We start from the raw sequence: 14,016 nt of genomic DNA on the forward strand, positions 1-14,016 counted from the left end.
TAAAAGCGCATGGAAAGGCCTTTGGGGGCAGTGGTAGTAAAGATGACTACAATTCTGCATGACAGGCAGGGGTTCCATAAGAATTGCAATAGGGCTGGAACAGGAATTGGTGGTCCTAGAGCTAGCTAGCTAGCTGCAGCTGGTTTTGGAACCTCTGTTTAGGTTGATTCATAGCACCTTCTCTATCCCTTTAGTCACCCTTTGGGTATGATAGTCTTGCCTCAACTTTGTCCCAAGGACTTCAGGATCACGTGTTTCCTAATGGCCAGAGTGCTGGCATGCCTAAAAACAAGCCACAGGGAAATGAAGCTGGGGGGAGGAGCTGTTCACAAGGAGATCCAACAAAGGAGGTTTGGGCCTGAAGGCAGGTAGCACTTCCTTCAGGGATATACCTTTGCATCCCATTCTGAGACCACCTCCTTAAATGGAGATAATCCATCAACAGGGGATTGAGGGTGCTTTCACACTGTTTCCAGGAAGACATCCCCCTTTAACGGGAGCGAAAGAACTATGCTCTTGGAACTGTAGAAAGCAGGGGTTTTGTAATAGTCACAGGCAGAGCAGTTTGCAGAGTACTCTCACAAACTGGCATTATATAGACAAAAGGGTGCTCTGGGTATTCAGATGGATGTTTTTCTGGAATGAAGGTCAACCCCTCAGGCTACCATATCCAGCAGGACAGAAATCATGGGAGACCACCCAATTCACAGACTATCCACATTGTCCCCAGGAAACTCTTAATTGCATTGTTTCATTTTCTTCATGAACACTTGGAAGTATGCAAAATATTATTAACCGTTTATGGTCTTGTACCCCACCCCATTAGAATAAGTGGCCTGGATGGCATGGGTCCTGCCTACTGTATTCACAACTGCAATTACACTGTATTAATGGATCAATGTCTGGCACATAGTAGCCCCTCAAATGTTTACTGTATGAAAGGTCTCATACAATAAACTGTAAGGAACTATAGGGATCTTGCTCTATCATACGACCTTCTTAACCACTGGTTCTCCAAGGGTGGTTCCTTGACCAGCTTCATCAGCATCCCCTGGGAACTTGTTAAAAATGCAAAATTTGGCTGGGCGTGGTGGCTCTCGCCTGTGATCCCAGCACTTTGGGAGGCTAAGGTGGGAAGATCACTAGAGTCCAGGAGGTTGAGGCTGCAGTGAGTTATGATCGTGCCACTGTACTCTAGCCTGGGTGACAGAGCAAAACCCCACCTCTAAAAAAATAAACTTAATTTTTTGAGATGGAGTCTCGCTATCACCCAGGCTGGAGTGCAGTGGCGTGATCTCAGCTCACTGCAACTTCTGCCTCCTGAGCAGCTGGGATTACAGGTGCGTGCCACCATGCCTGGCTAATTTTTTGTTTTTACTAGAGACAGGGTTTCACCATGTTGGCCAGGCTGGTCTTAAACTCCTGACCTCAGGTATCAGCCCACCTCGGCCTCCCAAAATGCAAGTGCTGGGATTACAGGCGTGAGCCACTGCACCCAGCCTAAACTATTCTTAATTGAATGTGGGGGAATTACTCCATGGTAAGGACCCAGGGAACCTATGTAAGACTGGTTGATCTTGCATGTCCTCCAATATTCTAAAAATAATTCACACACAAGTTTATAAACCAGTCTTTAGTTTCGATAAAGGATTAACCTCCCCCAACATCCTTGAGAAAGTATAGGAATCTGGTGAGACCCAGCTGGCTTTGGCTCTCTTTATTAGAGGCACACCTTCGTGAAGAGCAGGGCGTTCATCTCATGGCAGACACAGAATCCTCTTCTTTTGCTTCACTCGATTTATAAGCATCCTGAAAACAATCACTTCTTTTTTTCTGCACAGGGTTTATATCTGTGAGTACCCAAAAGCTGTCCCCCAAGGTTCACAGAATCTTCTGCCCTCAAGGCCTGCCTCCAACTTGGGACTGTCTAAACTGCATCCTGACAAACATTATCCCATTCACCAAGCAAAGCTATTTCTCACACCTGGAGGTGCCAGGATGTTGGCCATCATTTTTGGAGAACTTCCACTCATTTTCACTTTGACCATGCAAATGAACAGTGGGTGAGGTACCCTCAAAATGTATGTTCCTTACACATCATGAAGGTGGGCAGTCGGGAAGGAAGCCCGAGTCACAGAATTTTAACTGCTGATCAAACCAAGACCAGGTGGGGCCAAATGTTTAGGTTCTTCATAGGATATATGAAGAAACTGGTGTATGAATGCAGAGAATGGGACTAGAATCCAGAAATGGTGTTCCATTTATTCACTGAAAAAGAGAGAGATTAGGCCTTCTTCATTCATTTTCTCCATTCTTGCCAAACTCCCTCCCCTCATTTTTTCCAAAATAACAACACACTGAGAAACATGTTTGTACAAAAACCACATATTATTCCCCCCCCTCACAAAATCAGGTGGCTGAATTACAGGAATAAAACCAGATCAAAGACATGAAAAGAAAAAGCCACCACTTATACTGAAATATAACAGTGTTAAGAATTCAGGTATTTTGTAGAATTATTACTATAGTAAAAATATTTCCACCTGGATCTTTTAAATTTGAAAGTGATCACATTAAAGACCTGAGGTTACAAGGGACCACAGTATGAACCAGAATTCCATTTTCCTTCTCGGACTCCAGGGGAAAAAAGAAGTATTTGGAATGAGTTTCCTTTGGGAAAGACTGGCAGGAAGTAGGTAAAACCCTGGCCATTGTCAAAAGGCACTGGGGTCTTTCTGGAGCCAAATGCATTGGAACTAAGCTCCAGTAGGAATAAACTCATTCTCATTTCCACTCCCAAGAGTCCAGAACAAAAACAAAAGGACCAAGGTCTCCTCGGTTCCCGTATTCCAGTACTCTGATGGTGACCAGGGACACCTGGTTAGAGGCAAACCTGAGGGTTTGAAAGGCAAATCTCAATTGTGGTTTTATTTTTTTGCTTTCTGATATTAAGGAAAAAAGTTCTCAAGTGTTTTATAAACACCTCCCTATACCCTCTCATATGTAAAGCTTTAGAAAATATATAGAAAAAGATATCCAAAAGATGTCCACCTTGCATTCTAAATAATGAAACTGCCACTTGAGAATGTGAAGTGAGAAAGCCAGGCGCTTTGGAAACCAAGCTCTACCAAAAACACCCTTTCCCCACACATGGAAGGACAGAAGGGAGGGAAGGACAAGAGGAAAAAACCGGGAACTCTCAAGTCACTTATCAGCAGGGGTAAATACGAGCTCAAATTAAGGCATTTTTGTGGCTTGTCCTCTGGAATGGCATTCTACCCTCCCAGCCTGAGCACCCCAAACCTCAAAGCATGATGCTCTGACTGCCAAGTGAGTTCCTTGTTACCCTCAGCATCTCTTTGAAAACCCTGTGATAGATGGAATGTGAGATCTCAGAAATGGAAGGGAGAAGGTATAAGGAGCTAATATCCTGCTTCACTTTTCCCGTCCCATCCTAACCTTAAAAGTACCGGTTGACGAAATTCCACTCCCTGGCTACTGTAACAAGAGGTAGTTTGGGGACTTGTACCCCCAGCCATCCTAACCAAGTTTCATGAGCTAAAATATTTAGCACTATCTACTTTTTTTTTTCTTTTAAAGGGTTTTTTAAAGAGGGAGAAAAAAATGCACACAAAGCAGTGAATAGTAGGCTAGACTCATTGGGGGTAATTACCCTAGACTCCTAACTTTCCAGGCTAGTTGAGGAAACTAAGGAATGCCTCCCAATATTCCAACCCTCAAAGCTCACACTGCCCCCAGAAAAACAAAACACTCACCCCCAATCCAATGAATCATCTGCATAGAAAACCAGAGCCAGCAGGCCTAGGGAAGGAGCGGATGTTTGTGCCCTCCTCTAGCACATACTAGTTCAGTGGTATGTTCTGCCAGGCAGTGTGGAGGCCCTCAGAGGCCTCACTAGGGAATAAAATCACTGAGGTTCTCCTTCCACATCTCGTTTAATTTTCACAAATTTGTGTGTGGCAAAAGTCTCAAACTTTACCATCAGCACCATTCTTAGCTCAGAAAAGCAGAAATAAGGTCACTTATAATGCCTTAAGGTTTGTCCCCTGTGGCTATTCCCCCCCTTCTGCCCATCATTATTTTTTGGTTCCTATTAACTTAGGATGCTCTCCTTTAAAACAATAATAACAGAAAGATAAAAAGATAATGATTATATAGCATTATCCATAGAAGCATAAGACAAAGCAAAAAACTGCAAGAGAGCAAAAATGGTAAAGACATAGCATGCTAAAGTTGACAGGACCTGCAGAGAAACTGTCAGCTTACTCCCACACCAGGACAGGGGAGATGCAGGTTATTTTAAGGATGACCAGGGCACACTGTCACTACAGGTTTCCCCTTGAGTGTTGGCTGAGGACCCAACACAAAAAGTGTCAGAGAGAGGGGTGGTAAGAGGAGTGGGGAGGCACGGGACACGTGCTTGGAGCTGTGAGAAGAAAAATCCTGAAAGAAACCCAAGAAAGTTGAGGAACACAAGTCTTGTCATCCCCACTCCAGCTCATGGTGGTGGGCGTGGAGGTTCCCTGCATCTTCCAGGCTAAGGAGCAGCTGAGGCTGGCGGGCCAGGAGCAGGAGGCGGAGGGACCCCATCTGCAGGTGGTGGTGGCGGTGGCTGCTGCTGTGGTGGAGGGGGATCTGCAAACATATCCAAGAGTAACTCGTTATTGCTGGAAATACAAGAGACTCAGGAAAGAGCCTATTCAGTGAAAAAAAGACACAGAAGTCCTTTCCTTAGTGGCAGGCAACCAATGCACCCTGTGAGGCATTGATTCCACTGTGGTCTATGCAAGTCAATTCCTTCTGAACCTCTAGGGCACTGCTCAAGTTGCTTAGCCTAACCCTAGTGGCTGGGGAGTGGGAGGTGTCTGAATTTCCCCCACCCTCCTTCCAGGCCAACTCCTTCCAAGAATCGCTCCAGGCCCTTTCAGAAGTTAATTTTGATTGCATTGTATTTCAAGGGTTCTAATTTTATTTCTTCAGTTAAAAAATAAGCTCCTTCCTGGGACAGTTCTATGTCTTGTTTTTCTTCCCGCCCCCCCCCCGCCCCCACAGTCCCTAGCCTAGCTGGGCACAAAATAGATTATCAATAAATTCTTGCTATATAAATGTCTCCACCAGGGCCAGAGAGCTTCACTTGAGGCAGTTGCTGACAAACTGGATAGTCCAGGGAGGCCTCCACAGCTCCTGAACTGCAGTCCTTCGATTTTTGGCCCAAACTAGGTCATGTCCTGAAGGGAACAATTAGTATGAGTGTCTGGGACTCTTTCCTATTTCAACTTTACCTGCTTTAGTGTACAAAAGAACCCGAGAGATCATTTAATCCGGGTTTTAAAAACCCCTAGATCTTGTCAGAATTGAAAACATATGAAATAAAGTGCAGCATTGCTCACCAATCAATTCACCCAACTCTATGCCCAAGAGGTTTCTACCAAACCCTTAAGACTCTTGAAAGCATTCTGAAGCTCACTGATCTAATCCCTTGTGTCATCTTTCAGTGGAGGAAATGAAGGGCTGAAGTGGAGAAGCAACTCATCCAGTGTGGCCTACCTAGTATCCTAGAACCAATTCACATGGTTCAGAATTCCAGAGCACTGACTTATGGCAGGAACCAGGCAGCAGGTGGGAAGGTTCCACCTGAAACCCTCCACATTCTCAAGGAGCTCTACTGAGGTCCCTTTGGGAAGGAATCCTGAAGTACAAAACATGGGTGACCAGCAGGACATGACAGTGGTAAATTGGTAAAGACCAGTGATACTACCTCTGCAATAGGGATGGAAAACTGGTCAACTCTCTTGATAGGCGAGCTCATTTATGTATGGTCCACAGGGTGGCTTGGCAAACATTTTCTTGCCAAGAAAAAGAGGTACCTACTGTACTACACAACCACTGACCACTAGCTTAAGGGAGATAATTTTAAAAAGTTGTTGTGATCTTATATACCTAGATAAATTAGTGTCTTTCTTCTGTGCACCTACTTTGTCCCAGACTCTGGGGGCCAGAGAAGAGTCAGACATGTCTCTGTCCATGAAGCCTCCCAGAGTATTAGAGTGTACTTAAGGCACATCACAGTCTCATGTAACCTTTGGTAAGTTCTATATGCCTTCATTTGCTAAGTTCTATCCAAGTTTTCATTTCTTGTTTTCTCAACTAAAGCTCCTACAGAGCAAGAATTCTTATGCTTCCTATCTCTCTGAACTATAAATAGTAGCTAAACTTTTGGCCACACGTGAACTTCTACATGAACCTAAGATTACAGATGTGGCTGGGGTACCTGACCTACTACTGGCTGCATTTCAGCATCATCCTCACTGGGAAGGCCTTCTGGAGTAAAAGGCAGGCCAGGGTCTCAGAAACAACCCTCAGGCCAAGGCTGAAGCCGAGCAAGAGCCTATGGGAGAAATGACCTGGTCTCTAAACACAGCCTCAGACAAGTATCACTTAGCAGCACTAGTGTTGTCCTCATTGAGCTTGCTGGAACTTCGTATTTCCTCTCAACACAGCCCCTGAATACTACTTTCTTAGCCTACACAGCCACTACTAATATAACAAAAATGGCTATAAGAAACATATTTGTAATTCCAGCTCTAAACTCACTTCTATTCTTTTCTTTACACGCATCACTTTTGAACCCTGTATCCACAAAAGGCTGCTGTAGGGAAAACCACCACCAGTAGCTCTACATGTCTGTTGAGAGTCATAACAAGACAGGCTTAAACAGGTGTGGGAGAGGAATATCTTTATGGCCCCAATGCTGACAGTGCATGCCATAAAGGCACAACCCTGATTAGAAGCATTTTGTCACCTGTGCACCTGTCCATCAGGGGTGCTGAAGAACACAGACTGAAAACTGGTCTTTGAGAAGCCACTGTCACAGACTGCATCATCCATGGACCTGCCAAATCTCGGGGAGAGAACAAAGCCTCCTTCCCTTATCTACAGCCCTCCAGAACGGACCCTGAGATAATGCATCCCCCCTCCATGTTACTTACACATGCCGTTAGGTGCTGTCAGGGGTACCCGGGGTCCTAAGATGTTTCCTGGCATTGGTGGCATGCCAGGAGGGGTAGGGCCACTCCCAGAGGGGTGGATGTTGGCTGCAACAGTGGGAATCATGCGGCCTGGCATGTGCTGCCCGGGCATCATGGAACCTGGGCCTGGTATCTGACCTGTGGAGGGAGATTTAAAGTACTGTAAGTATACTAGAAAGGGGTGTAAGAAAGGGATCAACTTAAATCCAACTCCTAAATACAAATATCCAACCTTCCAAAGGATCTGAAATATCAACAGAGCAATAATCTGTAATAATCTCTATGTTTAGCTTTTTGTATTCTGGGTTTTTTGGAAGAAGGGTGTTAATGGGGGTAGGTCTGTGGAATGACTGATTATTCTAAACACTGGCAAGAAGGTGGCTGTAAAAAGAAATGGCAAAGGTCCCCTAAAATAAAGCACTCACTCTGGTTAGTTTGGGTGAGCAGTAGATTGTCAAATGTCTTCCTGAGGATATACAATGCCAAGCACAGCCCACAGGGAATGAAGTGGACTTTAAAAGGAAGTCAGTAAGTAAAAGTCAGTAAAAGGACCACAATTCAGTCCAGATTGTGCTCCATGGCTTACAGGGAAGGTTTGCCTGAAAGGGTATTATTACTGTGAAATCACCATTAAAAGGGGATTCTGATTTGAATCCCCAATTCCTGTCCACAAATATTTCTCCCATTAAAAGCCTCATGTATGGTTCATTTAAAAAAAAAAAAAAAATCATTCCTAAGAGCCCACTATGAAGCACTGGCCTGATAGACTCATAAGGGAAAACAAAGACAGCTCCATCTCTTCCTACTGTTTTCTCCCTTTCCTTTTCCCTTCCTTTCCTTTTGTTTGTTTCTTTCTTTTTTTTTTGACAGTCTCACTGTGTTGCCTAGGCTGGAGTGCAGTGGCATGACCTTAGCTCATTGCAACCTCTGCCTCCTGGGTTCAAGCAATTTTCGTGCCTCAGCCTCCCAAGTAGCTGGGATTACAGGTGCCCACCACCACGCCCAGCTATTTTTTTTGTATTTTTAGTAGAGATGGGGTTTTGCCATGTTGCCCAGGCTGGTCTTGAACTCCTGAGCTCAGGCAGTAAGACTGCCTCAGCCTCCCAAAGTGCTGGGATTACAGGCGTGAGCCACTCTTCCTATTGTTTTCTAATTAGTGACAGAAAACCCTACAGTATTCAATACTGTTGTTCAATACTGAGGGACATGAACACTAACAGAATCATTTGAGAGATGAGAATCATATGAGAATCAATGTAGTTTTTTTCTTTAAATCCAGGGGCTTTACTATCTATGTAAGGACAACTGTATGAAACTGAATATAGGTTAGAACACAGTACCAAGACAGCTAGAAATAAGAAAGCTTGATCTTGAAAAATGTGGAGATGGGACCATTTGATAGCTAACTGGCAATTAAAATACAGAAAGCAGTATTGAACACTGAAGAACACTAAAATACCTCCTGTATTCAGTTTCACAATGAGCCTTCTGACCCTTTAGAATGTTTAGCCAACTTTTTCTATAAAGAGCCAGATAGTAAATATTTTAGTCTTTGCCAGCCATATGGTCTGTGTCACAACTATTCAACTCTGCAAAGTAAGCATGAAGGCAGTCACAGATGATACACAACAAATGGACGTGGCTGTGTTCTAATAAATACATCTTTATTTATGAACCCTAAAAGGTTAATTTCACAAATTTTTCATGAGACATAAAACATTATTCTTCTTTTGATATCCTCCTCCAACCATTTAAACTATAAAAACCACTCTTAGCTTACAACCTGTATGAAAAACAATTGATGAGCCAGATTTCAACCTAGGCTGTAGGCGATCCCTGCTTTGGATATGATGGTAAACATTCACTAGTTCTTAAACCAAGCGATTTGGCTGCTGGGCTTGTTTTGTTTTGTTGAGACAGAGTCTCATTTTCTACTCAGTTTGGAGTGCAGTGGTGCAATCACAGCTCAGTTCACTGCAACCTCAACCACATAAACTCAAGCGATCCCCCTGCCTCAGCCTCTCAAGTAGCTGGAACTACAGGTGAGCACCACCATGCCTGGCTAATTTTTAAATTTTTTGTAGAGATGGGGTCTCACTACGTTTCCCAGGCTGGTAGTCTTGTTTTTTTTTTTTTTTGAGACAGAGTCTAGCTCTGTCACCCAAGCTAGAGTGCAGTAACACGATTTCAGCTCACTGGAACCTCTGCTTCTTGGGTTCAAAGGATTCTCCTGACTCAGCCTCCTAAGTAGTTGGGACTACAGGTGTGCACCACCATGCCTGGCTCTTTTTTTTATTTTTTATTTTTAGTAGAGACGGGGTTTCACTATGTTGGCCAAGCTGATCTTGAACTCCTGACCTCAAGTGATCCACCCACCTCAGGCTCCCAAAGTGCTGGGTTTGCAGGTGTGAGCCACCGCACCTGGCCGTAGTCTTGGTTTTAAAGAGTAATAAATTAAGAAGAATAGTTTAATGGAAACAATCAAGGCTTTAATTTTTTTTTTTTCTTTTTTGAGACAGAATCTCGCTGTGTCGCGATCCTGGCTCACTGCAACCTCCGCCTCCTGGGTTCAAGCAATTCTTCTGCCTCAGCCGCCCGAGTACCCGGGATTACAGGTGTGCGCCACCATACCCGGATAATTTTTGCATTTTCTGTAGAGACAGCGTTGCACCATGTTGCCCAGGCTGGTATTGAACTCCTGACCTCAAGTGATCTGCCCGCCTCGGCCGCCCAAAGTGCTGGGATTACAGGCGTGAGCCACCGCGCCTGGCCTGAAATTTTTTTATGTAGGACAAATTATATTCTCTACAGAATAAGAAAAAGAGAATCAATGTAGTTTTTCTTTAAATCTAGGGACTTTACTATCTATGTAAGGACAACTATGAAACTGAATATAGGTTAGAAGACAGTACTGAGACAGCTAGAAATAAGAATGCTTAATCTTGAAAAATTTGGAGATTGGACCAAATTACAATACACAAAGCAGTACTGAAGATAATTCAAATACAGACTCTCTGTCACTATAGAAAGAGGTCTATCTAAACAAAGACATACAAAGCTTCAAACCACACCCTGCCTATCTCCAGTGGCTGTTCCTTGATCTAAGAACCTGAGAGAGGAGCCCCTTACTTCAGGGGTGTCAATGAAGAGAACTACAATGAGGTATGAGAATTAGGAATAAGGGGCTGGGCACAGTGGCTCACACCTGTATTCCCAGCACTTTGCGAGGCCAAGGTGGGTGGATCACCTGAGGTCAGGAGTTCGTGACCAGCCTGACCAACATGGTGAAACCCCATTTCTACTAAAAATACAAAAATTAGCTGGGCTTAGTGGCATGCACCTGTAATCTCAGCTACTTGAGAGGCTGAGGCAGGAGAACTGCTTGAACCCGGGAGGTGGAGGTTGCAGTGAGCCAAGATTGCACCATTACACCCTAGCCTGGGCAACAAGAATGAAACTCCAAAAAAAAAAAAAAATAGGAATTAGGGTAGTCCAGTCTTCTAGGGACTACTTTTTAAAGCAAAGTACATCAACATTATGACCCAGAATGTACATAATAGAGAATTTTGGGCCCTGTGGCCCATCTTTCTGCACTCTATAATGTAACGCAAAGCCTAGCAGAGGAGTCTCAGAGATCCGCTTGCTGGAAAATAACTTGGTCAAATCACTTTGGCAAAATCAAGAGCAGCTGCTGGATCTACTCCTATGTGAACACTGCGACTAGGACCAACTGACCATCATTAATTTTTGTCTTTTTGTGCTTGTGCCGTGTATCTAGGACAGAAATAGGCAGTGTTGAAGAGTCTGCCAATCTAGGGACTGATTCAGGATAAAAGGGACAAATGGCAAGAACACTAAAGGCATACGAGGGATGAGTGCACATAAAGGAGTGAAAGGCAAACCAAGGAAAAACTATGGAAGGAGCAAGCCAAAAAAAATGAAGACTTTCCAGCTGATCAATAAAAATTTGTGAGTAACTTGGAATTGTGGATGAGATGTAAGTAAAGTGAAGGAAAGGGATTAGGGATAGGACTAATCCTAAAAACACCTGGGACAGCAGGGACCCAAGGACTCAGGCATCCTTGTGGCGGGACTGTGAGGCCACATGCTTGTAGATCCACAAACCAGTAAGAAATAATAGAAATCCTGGGTGCCTTGGCCCACCCCCAGGGGATATGCTGCAGCACAGCAGGTAGACCTTGATAAGATCTGCATACCTACATCCCTACAACCCATCCTGACTCCTGCTGCCACTCCTCTATTCTCCATCTCTGACCTGTTGTTGCAGGAATGTTACATAAGTGGAAGCACCGTTTGCAACATTTTGGGATTGGTTTTTTTTCACTCCAGGTAATTTCCTGGAGAGTCACCGGTTCTGTATGCAGCCACAGGCTGTTCCTCTCAGTGCTGGGTGGTGCTCCCTGCTGTGGATGGACCACACAGCCTGAAGAGGACATCTGGCGGTTCTCACTTTTTGGCTACTATGAATAATCTGCTAGGAAAGTTTGTGTACGGGTTAAAAAAAATTTTTTTTAAACACATGGCCAAGCGGGCGCGATGGCTCACGCCTGTAATCCCAGTACTTTGGGAGGCCGAGGCGAGATCACCTGAGGTCAGGAGTTCGAGACCAGCCTGGCTAACATGTTGAAACCCCATCTCTACTAAAAATACAAAAAAATTAGCGAGATGCGGTGGTGGGCACCTGTAATCCCAGCTACTCGGGAGGCTGAGGCAGGAGAATCGCTTGAACCGGAGAGGTGGAGGTTGCAGTGAGCCGAGAATGAGCCATTGCACTCCAGCCTGGGCAACAAGAGTGAAATTCCGTCTCAAAATAAATAAATAAATAAAATAAAATAAAATAAAATAAACACACAGCCAAGCCTAAGTTAAAACAATCAGAAAATAATGTTAATGTCACTCCCATTATTACTGAGAGGTACCATTTATATGCAGCATCTATATAAATACCATACCCTTTTGTGGTACCTTACTATCTTTCATCTGTATTACACCGAGGCTTATAAAGGTTTCTTTTTCTTTTTCTTTTTTTTTGAGACGGGAGTCTCACTCTGTTGCCCAGGCTGGAGTGCAGTGGGGCGATCTCGACTCACTGCAACCTCTGCCTCCCTGGTTCAGGTGAGTCTCCTGCCTCAGCCTCCCGAATAGCTGAAACTACAGGCACGTGCCACCACGCCCAGCTAATTTTTTTATTTTTAGTAGAGACCGAGTTTCACAATGTTGGCTAGGAAGGTCTCAATCTCTTGACCTCGTGATCTGCCTGCTTTGGCCTCCCAAAGTGCTGGGATTACAGGTGTGAGCTACCAAACCCGGCCAGGTTTTTTTTTTTTCTTTCCCAAAAACAAAAACAAAAACAAAACAAAACAAAACTGCTGGGTCTGTCATGATTCAAAGGAAAAAGGGCTATATTAATTCAAAAAGGAGTCATGCATGTAGAACAAGGGGTGAGGACTTCAAAAGTAAGGCTACAGAGGACTTAGTGAAAGGTTCTGAAAAGAAGAGAAGCTTGAACCTAATTTTCTGTGGGATGGAAAGCAATTTTTTAGAAAATGTTTAAGAGATGGAGTCTTGGCTGGGCGTGGTGGCTCACGCCTATAATCCCAGCACTTTGGGAGGGCAAGGCAGGTGGATCAAGAGGTCAGGAGTTCAAGACCAGCCCGGCCAAGATGGTGAAACCCCATCTCTACTAAAAATACAAAAATCAGCTGGGTGTGATGGTGGGCACCTGTAATCCTAGCTACTCGGGAGGCTGAGGCAGGGAATTGCTTGAACGTGGGAGGCGGAGGTTGCAGTGAGCCGAGATCATGCCACTGCACTCCAGCCTGGGTGACAGAGTCAGACTCCGTCTCAAAAAAAAAAAAATAAATAAATAAATAAGAAGAAGAAGAAGAAAAAAGATGGGGTCTTGCTACGTTGCCCAGGCTGGACTAGACCTCCTGGGCTCACGTGATTCTCCTGCCTCAGCCTCCTGTGTAGCTGGGGTTACAGGTGCATGCCACCATGCCCAGCTAGGATAGAAAGCTTTAAGAAGGGATGCAGAGGAGTTAGTGCCTAGAGCAGAGAAAAAGTGCCTTTGCAGAGAAGTATGGGCTGAATGTCAGGCTGATGAGACAGAAAGGAATAGGAGATGGAGATGGCACTCTGCAAGTTCCTTCTTTTTTTTTTTATTTTATTTTTTTAAAAGAGATGAGGTCTTGGCTAGGGGCGGTGGCTCCTGCCTGTAATCCCGGCACTTTGGGAGGCCGAGGCAGGCAGATGACGAGGTCAGGCATTTGAGACCAGCCTGACCAACATGATGAAAATAAAAAAATTAGCCAGGCGTGGTGGCACGCACCTGTAATCCCAGCTACTAAGGAGGCTGAGGCAGGAGTTGCAGTGAGCTGAGACTGCGTCACTGCACTCTAGCCTGGGCGACAGGGCGAGACTCAGTCTCAAAAAAAAAAAAAAAAAAGAGAGAGAGATGAGGTCTTGCTCTGTCACCCAGGCTGGAGTACAGTGGTATGGTCATAGCTCACTAAAGCAGTGAACTCCTGGGTTGAAGTGATGCCCCCGCCTCAACTTCCTGAGTAGCTAGGATTACAGGTGTGCACCACCACGTCAGCTAATTTATTTATTTATTTTATTTTTTATTTTTTAATTTTTTGAGACGGAGTCTCACTCTGTTGCCCAGGCTGGAGTGCAGTGGTGCAATCTCCGCCTCCCGGGTTCATGCCATTCTCCTGCCGCAGCCTCCCGAGTAGCTAGGACTACAGGCACCCGCCACCACGCCCGGCTAATTTTTTGTATTTTTAGTAGAGATGGGGTTTCACCATGTTAGCCAGGATGGTCTCGATTTCCTGACCTCATGATCCGCCTGCCTCGGCCTCCCAAAGTGCTGGGATTACAGGCGTGAGCCACCATGCCCGGCCCACGCCAGCTAATTTTTTATAGAGATGGGGCCTTGCTATGT

General features: G+C 44.8%; 1 protein-coding gene across 1 annotated transcript in view; it reads right to left on the reverse strand.

The window, feature by feature from the left end:
• SMARCC1 (SWI/SNF related BAF chromatin remodeling complex subunit C1) overlaps window positions 1,619-14,016 on the reverse strand; it is a 196,625-nt gene continuing 184,227 nt past the window's right edge. The window contains exons 27-28 of the mRNA NM_003074.4: window positions 7,011-7,187; window positions 1,619-4,656 (exon numbers count right to left, since the gene is read on the reverse strand). Of these exons, the coding sequence (NP_003065.3) occupies window positions 4,559-4,656; window positions 7,011-7,187 (275 nt within the window). The 3' untranslated portion in view covers window positions 1,619-4,558. The remainder of the gene's footprint in view (window positions 4,657-7,010; window positions 7,188-14,016) is intronic.

The sequence above is a fragment of the Homo sapiens genome, chromosome 3 (genome assembly GCF_000001405.40).
Source record: "Homo sapiens chromosome 3, GRCh38.p14 Primary Assembly".
In the NCBI taxonomy this organism is placed as follows: Eukaryota; Metazoa; Chordata; class Mammalia; order Primates; family Hominidae; genus Homo; species Homo sapiens.